Source organism: Homo sapiens, chromosome 21 (assembly GCF_000001405.40).
Source record: "Homo sapiens chromosome 21, GRCh38.p14 Primary Assembly".
NCBI lineage: Eukaryota > Metazoa > Chordata > Mammalia > Primates > Hominidae > Homo > Homo sapiens.
The window spans coordinates 46,338,050-46,352,980 of NC_000021.9; the positions used below are offsets into that span (position 1 = coordinate 46,338,050).

The window sequence follows — 14,931 nt, forward strand, 5'->3', positions numbered from 1 at the left end:
TTATTTTTTTGTAGAGACAGGGTCTCACTGTGTTGACAGGACTGGTCTTGAACTCTTGGGCTCAAGTGATCCTCCTGCCTCGGCCTCCAAAATGCTGGGATTACAGGTGTGAGCCACCTCGCCCACCCTAAAATTTGCATGCTTCTAAGTTCATTCTTTGTGATGCACAATTGTGTAGAGTCATATTCACCACCCAGTTACCCTCGAGAACAACCCCAGCCCCCAAGAGGGCCCGTGTCCTCTTTCTAACCAGCCGCTCTCTCCTTCCCCAGCCTCTGGCAACCAGTGGTCTGTTTTTTGTTCTATGGTTTTGCCTTTTCCAGAATGTTCTACAGATGGAATTCTATAATATGTAGGCTTTTGGGTCCAGGTTTTTAAATCACTTAGCAAAATGAGTTGAAGATTCATCCAAGCTTTAGATTGATCAGTAGCTCATTCCTTTTTGATGCTGGTTAGTACTTCATTGTGTGCATGGTACACAGTTTGTTTATCCACTCACCTGGTGAGGGACATCTTTCTTCTAGCTTTTTTGTGAATATGAATAATGAATGTGTCTTTTTTTTTTTTTTTTTGAGACGGAGTTTTGCTCTTGCACTCTTGTCGCCCAGGCTGGAGCGGTGATCTCGGCTCACTATAACCTCTGCCTCCTGGGCTCAAGCGATTCTCCTGCTTCAGCCTCCCGAGTAGCTGGGATTACAGGTGTGCACCACCATGCCTGGCTAATTTTTGTATTTATTTATTTATTTATTTTGAGACAGGGTCTCTCACTCGCCCAGCCTAGAGTGCAGTGGCCCATTCTCAGCTCACTGCAACCTCTGCCTCCCAGGCTCAAGGGGTTCTCCCGCCTCAGCCTCCCGAGTACCTGGGATTACAGGTGCATGCCACTATCACTTGGCTAATTTTTGTATTTCTAGTAGAGACGGGGTTTCACCATGTTGGCCAGGCTGGTCTCGAACTCCTGACCTCAAATGATCCACCCGCCTCGGCCTCCCAAAGTGCTGGGATTACAGGCGTGAGCCACCGCACCCGGCCTAATTTTTGTATTTTTAGTAGGGATAGTTTTACCATGTTGGCCAGGCTGATCTCGAACTCATGATCTCAGGTGATCTGCTCACCTCGGCCTCCCAAAGTGCTGGGATTACTGGTGTGAACAACTGTGCCTGGCCTGTTTTTATTTCCCTTCTTGAAAGCCTGGCTGGCGTAGACATATAGTTGGCAGTTGGTGTCTTGCTTGCCGGTGGTTTCGCTCTGCCCCTCTCTAGCTTGTGTTCACTGCCGTGGCCACCCTGAAGGCTTTTGTCTTTGGTGTTCTGCAGTTTTGATTTTATGTGTTCTTTAGAGGGACAGAACTAAAAGGATAGATAGACATATAAAGGGGAGTTTATTAAGGAGCATCGAGTCACATAATCACAAGGTGAGGTCCCACAGTAAGCCATCTGCAGGCTGAGGAGCAAGGAAGCCAGTCTGAGTCCGAAAGCTGAAGAACTTGGAGTCTGATGTTTGAGGGCAGGAAGCATCCAGCATGGGAGAAAGATGGAGGCCAGAGGGCTAACCAGTCTAGTCTAGTCCTTCCACGCTCTTCTGCCTGGTTTTATTTTGGCCACACTGGCAGCTGATTAGATGGTGGCAACCCAGATTGAGGGTGGATCTGCCTTTCCCAGTCCATTGACTCAAATTTTAATCTCCTTTGGCAACACCCTCACAGACACATTCAGGGACAATACTTTGTATCCTTCAATCCAATCAAGTTGACAATGTTAACTATCACACCAGGTATGGCTTTTTATGATGTCTTTGATTCTGCTTGGGATCTAGGGTTTTCTTCAATGTGTGGATGATGCTTTTCTCATCTGTTGCCTCAAATCCTAACCAGTATCTCCATCATACCTTCTACCTGTTCTTTCTCTCCATTAAGTTTTAGAGTTCTCTTGCATACCGTATTTGTCCATTCTCATGCTGCTAATAAAGGCATACCCAAGACTGGGTAATTAAGGAAGAGAGGTTTAATGGACTCACAGTTCCACGTGGCTGGGGAGGCCTCACAGTCATGGTGGAAGGCAAGGAGGACCAAGTCACATCTTAGGTGGATGGTGGAAGGCAAAGAGAGAGAACTTGTGCAGAGGAACTCCTCTTTATAAAACCATCGGATCTAGTGAGACTTATTCACTCTCAGGAGACAAGCACGGGAAAGACCCGCCCCCATGATTCAGTTACCTCCCACTGGGCCCCTCCCATGACACGTGGGAATTGTGGGAGCTACAAGTCAAGATGAGATTTGGGTGGGGACACAGCCCAATCATATCACATACGTATAGCTCAGCCCACTTTTGTGCTTGCCTTCTTTTTGCTCTTGGCCGTAGGCTGGATCGTTTTATCTGTGTTATCTCCCATTTTTCTAAACCTCTGTTCATCTGTATATAATCTGCTGTTAAATACGTCCAGAGTTGTTAATTTTGTTCTTGCTGTTTTTAGTTCTATTTGGATTCTTTAAAATTGGTTGTTATTCTGCATAATTTTTTGTTTCCTAGAGATATTTTCAAACTTATTTTAACTGTACATCTTTTTTTGTGAGTGAATTGGTCTCCACTTTGGCCTGGTATTTGGAGGTGCAGTGAGCCTATCCACTTTGTTTTTTATTGAGATGGAGTCTTTCTCTGTTGCCCAGACTGGAGTGTAATGGTGTGATCTCGGCTCACTGCAACCTTCACCTCCCAGGTTCAAGTGATTCTCCTACCTCAGCCTCCCAAGTAGCTGGGATTACAGGTGCCCGCCACCATGCTGGGCTAATTTTTGTATTTTTTTTTAGTAGAGACGGGGTTTTGCCATGTTGGCCAGGCTGGTCTCGAACTCTTGAGACGAAGTCTCACTCTGTAGCCCAGGCTGGAGTGCAGTGGTGCCATCTCAGCTCACTGCAACCTCTGCCTCCCAGGTTCAAGAGATTCTCATGCCTCAGCCTCCTGAGTAGCTGGAATTACAGACGTGTGCCACCATATCCGGCTGATTTTTGTATTTTTAGTAGAGATGGGTTTCCCCATGTTGGCCAGGCTGGTCTTGAGCTCCTGACCTCAAGTGATCTGCCCACCTTGGCCTCCCAAAGTGAGGGGGTTACAGGCATGAGTCACCGCGCCTGGCCAGCCCATCCACTTTGAATGGAATGTGTTGCTCGGGTTGATTTGGATCACTATTATTTTGGGTCTGCCGTGGGTGCCACTTCTCAGGATCTTTTTTTGGTTCCTTGAATGTTTTCTGTTTTCCATATGTCCGTTATTCCGCTTGGAGTAGCACATTGTCTGGTCTTTTTTAGTGAGGTGTTTGTGTTACTTTTGTGAGAAGTCTGTGTTATGGCTCGTGGGAGTCCCTTCAAGTTCAGTGCCACATTTTCATCTGATCAGTCTTCCAAAAATATCCCTTTCCCTAGACACGTTTTAATATAATTTTTATTTTTTATTTTATTTTTTCTCACGTCTAGTAAGGCAGGGAATATTTTTAAATTTTTTTGTAGAGATGGGATCTCACTATATTGACCAGGGTAGGCTCTAACTGCTGGTCTCAAGCCATTCTCCTGCCTCGGCCTCCCAAAGTGCTGGGATTATAGGTATGAGCCTCCACACCTGGCCTCCTGGACGTGTTTTGTTTTGTTTTTTAATTTTGAGACGGGGTCTTACCCTGTTGCCCATGCTGCAGTAAGTGGCACAATCGTAGCTTACTGCACTCTCCACCCCTGGGCTCAAGCAGTCTTTCTACTCAGCCTCCTGAGTAGCTGGGAACACAGGCATGCACCACCATGCCTGGCAAATTTTTAAATATTTTGTAGAGATGGAGTCTTGTTACATTCACTAGGCTGGTCTCAAACTTCTGGCCTCAAGTGATGCTCCTGCTTTACATGCTTTTTACTTATTTTTTTTTTTTTGAGATGGAGTCCCGCTCTGTTGCCCAGCCTCGAGTGTGGTGATGCAAATTCGGCTCATTGCAACCTCTGCCTCCCAGGTTCAAGTGATTCTCATGCCTCAGCCTCCTGAGGAGCTGGGATTATAGGCATGCACCGCCATGCCTGACTAATTTTTTATTTTTAGTAGAGATGGGGTTTTGCCATGTTGGCCAGGCTGGAGTGCAATGGTGCAATCTTGGCTCACTGCAACCTCTGCCTCCTAGGCTTAAGTGATTCTCCTGCCTCAGCCTCCTAAGTAGCTGGGATTACAGGCGTGCACAACTGCGGCCAGCTAATTTTTGTATTTTTAGTAGAGACAGGGTTTCACCATGTCGCCCAGGCTGGTCTTGAACTCCTGACCTCAGGTGATCTGCCCCCCTCGCCCTCCCAAAGTGCTGTGATTACAGGCGTGAGCCACTGTGCCTGGTCTCCATACTGTATTTTTATAGTGATTGTACTAGTTTACGTTCCCACCAGCAGTGCAAAGGTTTTCTGTTTTCACTGCATCCATACCAACCTGGATGTGTTTTTTATCTGTTTGTGTCATCAATTCTTTCTTTTTTTTTTTTCTTTTTTTTTTGAGACGGAGTTTTGCTCTTGTTGCCCAGGCTGGAATGCAATGGCATGATCTCGGCTCACTGCAACCTCCGCCTCCCGGGTTCAAGTGATTCTTCTACCTCAGCTTCCAGAGTAGTTGGGAATACAGGCATGTGCCACCACGCCCAGCTAATTTTTGTATTTTTAGTAGAGACGGAGTTTCAGCAGATGGTCTCAATCTCTTGACCTCGTGATCCGCCTGCCTCGGCCTCCCAAAGTGCTGGGATTGCAGGTGTGAGCCACCGTGCGCAGCCAGCGATTTCTTTCAGCAGTGTTTTGTGGTTTCCCTTGTAGAGATTTTTCGCCTCCTTGGTTAGGAATATTCCTAAGTATTTTATTTTATTTTTTGCAGCCATCGTAAAAGGTGTTGAGTTCTTCATTTGGTTCTCAGCTTGGTCACTTTTGGGGTATAGCAGTGCTACTGATTTGTGTATGTTGATTTCGTGTCCTGAAACTTTACTGAATTCATCGATCAGATGTAGGAGCTTTCTGGATGAGTCTCCAGGGTTTTGTAGGTAAACGATCCTGTCATCAGCAGACAGGGACTGTTTTTCCTCTTTACTGATTTGGATGCCCTCTATTTCTTCTCTTGTCTGATTGCTCTGGCTAGGACTCCAGAGCAGTGGTGAAAGTGAGCATCCTTGTCTTTTTCCAGTTCTAAAATGCCTTCAACTTCTCCCTTTTCAGTATAATGTTGGCTGTGGGTTTGTCATGAATGGCTTTTATTGTCCCTTCTATGCCGATTTTGCTGAGGGTTTTAATCGTAAAGGGATCCTGGATTTTGTCAAATGCTTCTTCTGCATCTATTGAGATGATCATATGATTTTTCTTTTTAATGCTGTTTATGGGGTATATCACATTTGTTAACTTGTGTGTGTTGAACCTTCATCCCTGGTATGAAACCCAAGTGTATTATCTTTTTTATGTGCTGTTGGATTCCGTTAGCTAGTATTTTGTTGAAGATTTTTGCATCTATGTTCATCAGGGATATTGGTCTGTAGTTTTCTTTTTTTGTTATGTCCTTTCCTGGTTTTGGTATTAGGGTGATACTGACTTCATAGAATGATTTAGGAAGGATTCTTTCTTTCTCTATCTTTTGGAATAGTTTCAGTAGGATTAGTACCAATTCTTCTTTGAATGTCTGATAGAATTCAGCTGTGAATCCCTCTGGTCCTGGACAATTTTTGTTGGCAATTTTTAAATTACTGTTTCAGTCTTGCTGCTTGTTACTGGTCTGTTCAGAATTTCTGTTTCTTCCTGGTCTAATCTCGAAGGGATGTATATTTCCAGGAATTTATCCATCGCCTCCAGGTTTTCTAGTTTGTGCACATAAAGGTGTTCATAGTGGCCTTGAGTGATCTTTGGTATTTCTGTGGTATTGGTTGTAATGTCTCCCATTTAGTTTCCAATTGAGCTTATTTGGATCTTCTCTCTTCCTTTCCTGGTTAATCTCACTAATGATCTATCAGTTTTGTTTATCTTTTCTTTTCTTTTCTTTTTTTTTTTTTGAGATGGAGTATCGCTCTGTCACCCAGGCTGGAGTGCAGTGGCGCGATCTCTGTTCACTGCAAGCTCTGCCGGGTCTGCCTCCCGGGTTCATGCCATTCTCCTGCCTCAGCCTCCCGAGTAGCTGGGACTACAGGCGCCTGCCACCACGCCCAGCTAATTTTTTTGTATTTTTGGTAGAGAGAGGGTTTCACCATGTTGGCCAGGATGTTCTCAATCTCCTGACCTCATGATCCACCTGCCTCAGCCTCCCAAAGTGCTGGGATTCCAGGTGTGAACCACCGCGCCCGGCCCGAGCTCCTGACATTGAAGGGAGATGTTGCTGCACTCATGTGGCCGCCCACCCTGGGGACGAGTCCCCGCACAGGCAGCCCTTGTGGAGCCCACCATGCCGCCCTTCCCTGTCCAGTTCCTCCGGGGGCCTTTCTAGCTTTTGCAACTGTATCAAGCCTGTATCTCTCCATCCCTAGCCAGTTCCCCAGTTGGGGCAGAAAAATTTAGTTTGGGTCATTTTTTAATCGGAAGTACTCTGTGAGCAAGTGGGTCACCTGGAGCCCAGAAAGGTGCCTGGCTGATGCAGGGGAAGCCAGAGAATGGTCGCTTCCACAGGCAGGGGATACGTCCCAGGCGCCAGTCGAGGGGCAGGAGCCTGCAGGGAGGGCCACAGTGACGGTGGGCTCAGGATCCGTGCCGACGGGCCCCCTGCAGCTTTTCTTTTCCCTTTGGGTTATTGCTGCTGAAAAGGTTTCCAGAGGTGGGAATGTTGAGACAGGGAAAGGCTTTCTGTGGCTCGACCTGTGTTGCCAAAATGGCTGCTGAGAAAAAAGTTGAAGCAACTGATTCTGATGTTGGTAGCATTTGGGTGCATTTGTTTCTTGTGACTGTGGTGGCACTGAGGATTCGTAATATTCTTCCCAACTTTTGCTGATTTAGTGGCCATACAAGGATCTTTAAAGTTTGTGTCTCTAGATTGGTTTACCTTTCATCGGTACCCACTTTTTCCAGGCATTTTATGCACATTTTCTCTCTGTAGGCGTCATTTCCGCCTTTTTCCTGAGAGCAGGTTGTTTGTTCCTCCCGTGGCAGCACTGCTGTGGCGTGGGGAGAGTCCACAGCTTCTGTTTCTGGGACTTTATTTTGTTTATTTATTTTTTTGAGGTGGAGTCTCGCTCTGTTGCCCAGGATGGAGTGCAGTGGTGTGATCTCAGCTCACTGCAACCTCTGCCTTCCAGGTTCAAGTGATCCTCCTGCCTCAGCCTCCCAAGTAGCTGGGACTACAGGTGCCCGCCACCACGCCTGGCTAATTTTTGTATTTTTAGTAGAGATGGGGTTTCACCATGTTGGCCAGGCTGGTCTCGAACTCCTGACCTCAGGTAATCTGCCTGCCTCGGCCTCCCAAATTCTGGGATTATAGGCGTGAGCCACCATGCCTGGCCTGTTTCTGGGACTTTGACTTTACATTGTGATTTAAGCGAGTTTAATATTTTTCCTTCTTCTTTTTTTAATGAGATACAATTAACAAGCATACGATTCACCATTTTAAAGTACAGACCTCAGTGGCACTTAGTACACTCACAGCATGTGTGAGCACCATCTCCAGTGGCTCCAGACATCATCATCACCCCAGAAGGAAGCCCGGTGCTCGCGGCAGCCACCCCGCTCTCCTCCCTCAGCTCCTCGCAGCCTCCAGGCTGCTCCATGTCTACGGATTTGCAGATCCTGAACACTTGATGTAAACGGAACCTCACCATACGTGGCCTTCTGTGTCTGCTCTGTCACTCAGCCTCACGTCTTCAGGGCTCCTCTGTGTTGCAGCCTGAGTTGGGGCTTCGTTCCTTCTTGTGGCTGAATGGCAGCCCACGTTTGTTCAACCATTCATCCCTCAGGAGGCATTTGGGTTGCTCCCACCTTCTGGCCGTTGCGAGTGGTGCTGCTGTGAACAGCTGCGAACGGGGTTTTGTGAGGACGTGCGTCGTCAGTTCTTGAGCACATCACTGTGGCTTCTCATGTGAATTCTGGACCTACATTCTTTGCCTTTTTTCCCCAGGAGTGTGAACAAGAATGTGAACTTGCCATTACTGACCTGGAGAGCGGCCGTGAAGATGAGGCTGGCCTGCATCAGAGTCAGGTGACCCGGCGGGGCCTGCACAGGCTCACAGCATGGGCTCTGTTATCCCCACAGGGCACAGTGGGCATCCGGGTGGGGGTGGGGTGGGCGCTGCCATCTCCTTTCTCTGAGTTGTCTGTTTCCACGTTCTGTGTGTGGGGCCATCAGCAGGGCCGGTGGAGGAGACACACGTGGATGCTGGGGGTCAGGGGGCTTGGTCAGGTGCAGGCCACATGAATGACACACTGACCTCAGGCCGGTTGCTCTCCCTGTCAGCTGCGAAGCCCCCTCCAGGTACACACAGTGCCGTCATACAGCGAGGGAATTCGGGGTGCTGGTGCTCAGGGCAGTGATGCGCTGTGGGGTCACTGGCAGAGGAGCTGGGTGGCATCTCAGTGGCATCCGGGCCTCTGTGTCCTGCCCCTGCTTCCACGGGATGTCTGCTGTTTCATTTTCTGTGTCTTCCTTACTCATTCTCATTCATGCTTCTGTGTCTCCCTGATGCGCCCTGGTTCTGACCATGGGCCCTTATCAGAGGCCTTTTCTCCGCCGCAGGCCGTGCATGGCCTTGAGCTGGAGGCGCTGCGCCTGAGTCTGAGCAACATGCACACGGCGCAGCTGGAGCTGACACAGGCCAACCTCCAGAAGGAGAAGGAGACGGCATTGACGGAGCTGCGGGAGATGCTCAACAGCCGGCGTGCCCAGGAGCTGGCCCTGCTACAGAGCAGGCAGCAGCACGAGCTGGAGCTCCTCAGGGAGCAGCACGCACGGGAGAAGGAGGAGGTGGTGCTCAGGTGTGGACAGGAAGCAGGTACTGCATGGCTAGGCGGGCACGGGCAGCGTGTGGGCTCGGTGTGGGCATTCTAGTGCCTGTTCCCTCTTGGGGTTGGGAGCTGGGGCGCCCTAGCACCGTCTCCCCATCTCTGTTCTCAGCACCTTGCCTGGTGTCTGGCACCATGAGAGGGGTGAACAAAGGGGGCCCTTGGGTTTTTGTGGCCAGGAGATTATTAGAGCAGGTTTCCAGGTGGTCTGTGATAGGTGCGACCCAGGGCTGACCTTCACCTCCTCTCTTAGATCGTCCTGTGTGTCTGGAAGTCACGGTGTCCTCAGTTTGTTATTAAAGCCAAGCATCATCACAGACACATCCTGCTAGCCCGTGAATGCTGGCACGTGTCCAGTGGGTGCCAGAGCCTGGTCGTTTCCTGGGCAGTTGGGTCACTGAAAAGGTTGAGATGGAGTGGCCTGAGCTGCTTTTTGTTTTTCTTGCAGCTGAGCTGAAGGAGAAGTTACAATCAGAAATGGAGAAAAACGCCCAGATAGTAAAGGTACCCGGGATCGATTCTAAAATGCACGCCTCTGTGTATGTTGTTTTTCCTTTCTCGCCAGGTCCCATGAGAACGCTCCTCACCTTGATTCAGACAGAAGCCAGTCGAGGCTTTATTAGAATATGCTGGTTGAAAGTGTATTGCGTTCTTTGTTTATTTATATCATTTGTATTTGTCAGAAAACTTGTTTTGTTGTTTCACATTGACTTGCATAACACAAAGGCACTGCTCGGCCCCTCCATGCTGTCTTCTGAGTGGCCCCCATGGCCTGCCCCTGAGCTGTGTTCTGGGACACAGCCTCTGCCCTCGTGGATGTGGCAGTTCCCTGCAGTGCATGGGGTGTGGGTGCTGGGGTGCCGGGGAGAATACCACACAGGGAGGAGGTTTTGGGTGGGGTGGGTTGCACCTGCTGTGGGTGGCCTCACTGGGGACCACAGGTAGCAGTGCCCCGTCATTGCCAGGCCCTCCGCTAGAGGGCTGAGCTGTCAGCCATGCTGAGTGTGGAGGCCCTTCCTGAGTCAGGCATCTGGGCAGCTCTCAGGCCCTTGGCAGACGATGGGTGTTAGTCCAGGCTTGGGGTTGTGTTCCGGTCACCTGCTCCTCTGACGCAGGCAGTGAGACCCATTTCTCAGAACACTTGGGACAGAGCCCAGCCCTTGGGTGGAGGTTGGCAAAGTTGCCATTGGCCCCTGGGACTTATAGGGAGATGTATTACTAACGCTTTGAGGGTGACTGTGTGGATTAGGCCTTGCGTGCAGAGGCTCGTCTGTTTCGGGGTGGGTGGTCCTTGTGCAGAGGCTGGTCTGTTTCAGGGTAGGTGGTCCTCTCGCTTTGTGCAGATGCAGGTCTGTTTTGGGGTGGATGGTCCCTGTGCAGAGGCTGGTCTGTTTCAGGGTGGGTTGTCCCTGTGCAGAGGCTGGTCTGTTTCAGGGTGGGTGGTCCTCGTGTGCAGATGGCAGTCTGTTTTGTGGTGGGTGGTCCTTGCTCACTTTTCCTCAACTGCTTGCCTCCTGGATGCTTCTGCTTTTCTGTCCTGCCAGCATTCAGGGGAGAGACTGGGTGTAAGGCCTGTCAGGACAGTTTAGTTGGGGGCCATGACTGCCCATTCTTTTTTTTCTTTGAGACAGGGTCTCATTCTGCCTCCCAGGCTGGAGTGCAGTGGCACAATCACAGCTCACTGCAGTCTTGACCTCCTGGGCTCAATTGATCCTCCTGCCTCAGCCTCCCGAGTAGCTGGGACTATAGTTGCATGCCACCACATCCCACTAATTTTTGTATTTTTTTTTTTGTAGAGATGGGGTCTCACTATGTTGCCCGGGCTGGTCTGTAACCCTAACTCCTGGGCTCAGGCGATCTGCCTGCCTCAGCCTCTCAAAGTGCTGGGATTAGAGGCATGAGCCACGTTGCCTGGCCTGCTCAGAGGTTTTGACTGTGTGATTTAAATTTCTTTAGCACAGATAATCAACTATTGAGTTTAATTTTTTTTTCTTTTAAATTAGACCCTGAAGGAAGATTGGGAATCTGAAAAAGATTTATGTTTAGAAAATCTACGCAAAGAACTGTCTGCAAAGCATCAATCAGAAATGGAGGATTTACAAAACCAGTTTCAGAAAGAATTGGCAGAACAGAGAGCTGAGTTGGAGAAGATTTTTCAAGACAAAAACCAGGCTGAACGTAAGTAATGAAAATGAGCAAGTTTGGAGTGGGACTGAATTTTCCTAGGTAGTACTGGAAGGAATGTCGTTCATGTCACCATGCGTCATTGCGCACGTTTCCTACCTTCTAAATGCTGGATGGCCCCATGCACGTGTGACACGCTGGTGGCCGTCATGGGTCACAGGTCTCTCAGGGTCCTTAAACCTTCCTGATCTTTGTTTCAGAGATTTTTCTTGGCATGTTCAGTTGCTAAATTATTACAAAGCAGCAGCTTTGTGGTTGTTCACTTTTCATACTCCAGGGTTGTGTGTTCCAGCTTGACCCTCATGGTGGGTGGCATGGGTAGGCGATGTCCCCTGGTGCTATCAGGCATGTGAGGCTCAAACGAGGGGCCCGGGGGCGCCCAGGATGGGGCTCTGGGTGGCAGCGCTCTGGGTGCACCATTATTGTCACTGAGGTCGCTGTTGAGGAGAGTGATGTCTTGTAAACCAAGTGCCATTGCTTTACCTTTCTAGGGGCCCTTAGGAACCTGGAGAGTCATCATCAAGCAGCCATTGAGAAGTTACGTGAAGACCTGCAGTCCGAGCACGGCCGGTGTTTAGAAGACTTGGAGTTCAAGTTCAAAGAGAGCGAGAAAGAAAAACAGCTGGAGGTGGGCAGCAGCTTCGTTATTTAATTACTTGGTATATTAGGGAAGTTTTAACAGATTTTGGAATTGGGCTATTTCGTATTGTGTTATTTGCTAAAACTTAAGTTCTAAATTTAAAGAGACTGGCTGGGAACAGTGGTTCACGCCTGTAACTCTATCACTTTGGGAGGCCAAGGTGGGCAGATCATGAGCTCAGGAGTTTGAGACAAAAATTAGCCAGGCATGGTGGTGGGCATCTGTAATCCCAGCTACTCGGGAGGCTGAGGCACGAGAATCGCTTGAACCTAGGAGGTGGAGGTTGCAGTGAGCTGAGATCTCACCACTGCACTCCATCCTGGGCAACAGCGAGCCTCCGTCTCAAAAGCAAATAAATAAAATAAAATGAAATAAAAAAATAAATAGAGTGTTAGTGGTGAATAAAAGTGTAAGGATATAGTCTCTGAGACTGATTTAATAATTACGTTCAATCTTGTACTTAGGAATGCATGTTCTTTGCAGGCGTCCCTGAGACAGTTACACAAATCGCAGACACTAGGTAGGAGTGTAAGGCCACATCCTCTAACCGTGATCCAGTACACACGAGATTCCTAGGAAAAGTTAACAAGCATTTCTTTCTGCTGTGTGTATTCAAGATGCTTCTCTAATGAAGCACTACAATCAAAATGTTGATGTGGCCAGGTCCTCATTGGAGGCCTGACAAACCTGAGACTCAAACTGAGTATCCCAAGAATCAGTTGAAGAAATTAAAGCATAAATCAGAGATAGGGTTAATCGTGGTGTGTGAAAGATTTACAAACATGAGAATATGGAAGTAGTTGGGGTCTAGGGTCTTAGGGAGGCCTGTCCTGGGCCCCTTGTGTCTCCCAGCGGGACTCTGGTGCCCACACACCCTCCTCTCCTGCAGAGAGTCCAGGCCGGGGCTCACTCCACACCCCCAGTCTCTCCCTGGTCCCTTCCAGGCTCTCCCTCCGAGATGGGAAAGAGGGGGCTGGTAGCATCTTCTGGTCCTGATGCCCATGATTGGGAAAGGTAGGAGGAGCCGTTTCCATGAGGAGGACAGGCCAGCCCCAGGTGCAGCGTTGCCCAGGAGGAAATCACGCCATGCTGCGCTGGGCTGGGCTCTTGCTGATTGTACAGAAAAGTTTAGTGTCACGGTGTAAGAGGTACCTGCTTCCTTAATGTAGAAGTATTGAAACTGAGAGACCTCCTATTTGGGAGTCTTGGGTACTGTGGGCTAGTAAGACTCCCTAAATTCCATTCAGCAGTCTGTATGTATGACCCTAAACCGAAGCAGGGAGGTGCACAAGATGAAACTGCACCGCTGCGGCCGGCATGGAACCTGGCCGTGCCACCTCCTCAGCTGAGACAGACCTGGAAGTTCCTGAGATTCTGAAAGTGCCTGGCCTTGTGGGGTCAGCGCTGACCGATCCCTCTTGTCACGGACAGAGCTCTCTCGGTCTCTGCTGTGGCTGGCTTTCTCCGAGCTGCAGGTTTGGGATGTGAGCTTTTACCCTTAGGATCGCAGTGGCAGGGATAAAACCGCACACGTCACTGCTGGGGTGGGGGCCTTGAGCTCATTAGGGTTTCACCTGGACACTTTGCTTTTTCCAGTTAGAGAATCTTCAAGCATCATATGAAGACCTGAAGGCACAATCACAAGAAGAGATCAGGCGCTTGTGGTCCCAGCTTGATTCTGCCAGGACCAGTAGACAGGAATTGAGTGGTGAGGAATTGTATTGGAAAATTCAGATCCTCAAAAGCTGAAGCTGTGTGTTTTTCATTGTTGTAACACCAAGCCAGAATTTAACAATTCTAGCAAACACAAAAAAGTGGATTTACCTGTTTGACATCCTGAAGGTTGAGGTGTCTGGTTTGAAAGTGGAGGTTTGCTTTGTGGGAGAGAGCCCTGGTTTTATGCTAAGCAAGTCAGTGCAGCAGTGACGTGCACCTGTGTGTCCCTCAAGGCCAAGAGCAACACTTGCAGGGGGTGCCTTCATGTCTAAGGAAAGCTTACCAGTGGTGCTGAGCGTTTGCCTCGGAAGGACGGTTGAGTGCTGTCCAAGTGCGGGCTCACCTGGTGTCTGGGGTCACAGGGCAGTGCCCCACATCCTGCTGCCAGGCTCCTGTGGCCCCAGCTCTCCAGGCCACTTGCTGAAGGCAGCTCTGCTCCAGGTGTCCCCTTATAGCTGAGCACCTCTGGAGACCCCGACCCCAGGCCCCCCATTCCGTGTCAGAGAGGTCTTTGTGCAGCAGGCTTGGATGGTGCCTGAGGGCAGGGGCTGGCCAAGCCCAATTCAGGCACCGGCGCCCAGGTCCACAGGACAGGAGGGTGAGCCACTGCGTGTCTCCTGGCATTCATGTGCCGACAGAGCCTTTTGGCCCAACTTGTCCTTGTGGGTGGTGGGATTTGAAGCAAAGAGCACTTAGGAGAAAGAACTGGAGACACTGCCACTGTCACCAGGGCACCAGGCCTGGCTCCGCCTCCCAGCCCTGCGCCCTGCCGGGACCAGGTGCAGCTGAGAGCATGTCGATTTATCTTCCTCTGGGGGTCTGTCTGTCGCTGGAGGCTGGAGAAGAGAGAAGCTGAGGGGGCCACAGGCACAGCTGCTCCCCGCGGGCTCCGGCTCTGGCTTGGTCCTCTGCTTGTCTCTGTCCTGCCTCTCGGGACCCATGCAGAGAACCCCGATTTGCCCTCTCTGGGGTGCCCGTTGCTGGCTGTCAGCTGCTGTAGAGCAGCGGGCTGTATTCTGACCATAGTAGCCATGGAGACAAGTTCTTTTAGGGTCCGTGTTGCTTCTCTGCTGCTGTGTAACAAATTATCACAAACTTGGTGGCCTAAAACAACACAGTTGTCAGCTTACAGAAAGTCCAAGATGGTACAGCTGGGTTTTCTGTCCAGGGTCCCCCATAGCCCACATCCAGGTGTCAGCTGTCGTGTGCCAACCTGATGAGCCTGCTTCTGGGCTCGAGGTTGGTCTGGATCCAGTTTCCTGGGGCTGCAGGACCATCGTCTGTCTCCTTGCTGGCTGTGCCCCCCACATCCCTGCCACTTCGAGTGCTGCTTTTGCTCCCAGCCCTGTGGCTCTTGCCACCGCTTGGAGAGAGCTCTCCACATTCAGGGGCGTACGAGAGTCTAAGCCGTAGGGGTCCCTCATCCCTCTCC

General features: G+C 49.9%; 1 protein-coding gene across 2 annotated transcripts in view; it reads left to right on the forward strand.

Moving 5' to 3' along the window:
- PCNT (pericentrin) overlaps nucleotides 1–14,931 on the forward strand; it is a 121,614-nt gene that overhangs the window by 13,894 nt on the left and 92,789 nt on the right. For both annotated transcript variants that reach the window (NM_006031.6, NM_001315529.2), the window contains exons 4-9: nucleotides 8,079–8,159; nucleotides 8,694–8,949; nucleotides 9,408–9,463; nucleotides 10,963–11,137; nucleotides 11,635–11,771; nucleotides 13,380–13,491. In NM_006031.6, the coding sequence (NP_006022.3) occupies nucleotides 8,079–8,159; nucleotides 8,694–8,949; nucleotides 9,408–9,463; nucleotides 10,963–11,137; nucleotides 11,635–11,771; nucleotides 13,380–13,491 (817 nt within the window). The remainder of the gene's footprint in view (nucleotides 1–8,078; nucleotides 8,160–8,693; nucleotides 8,950–9,407; nucleotides 9,464–10,962; nucleotides 11,138–11,634; nucleotides 11,772–13,379; nucleotides 13,492–14,931) is intronic.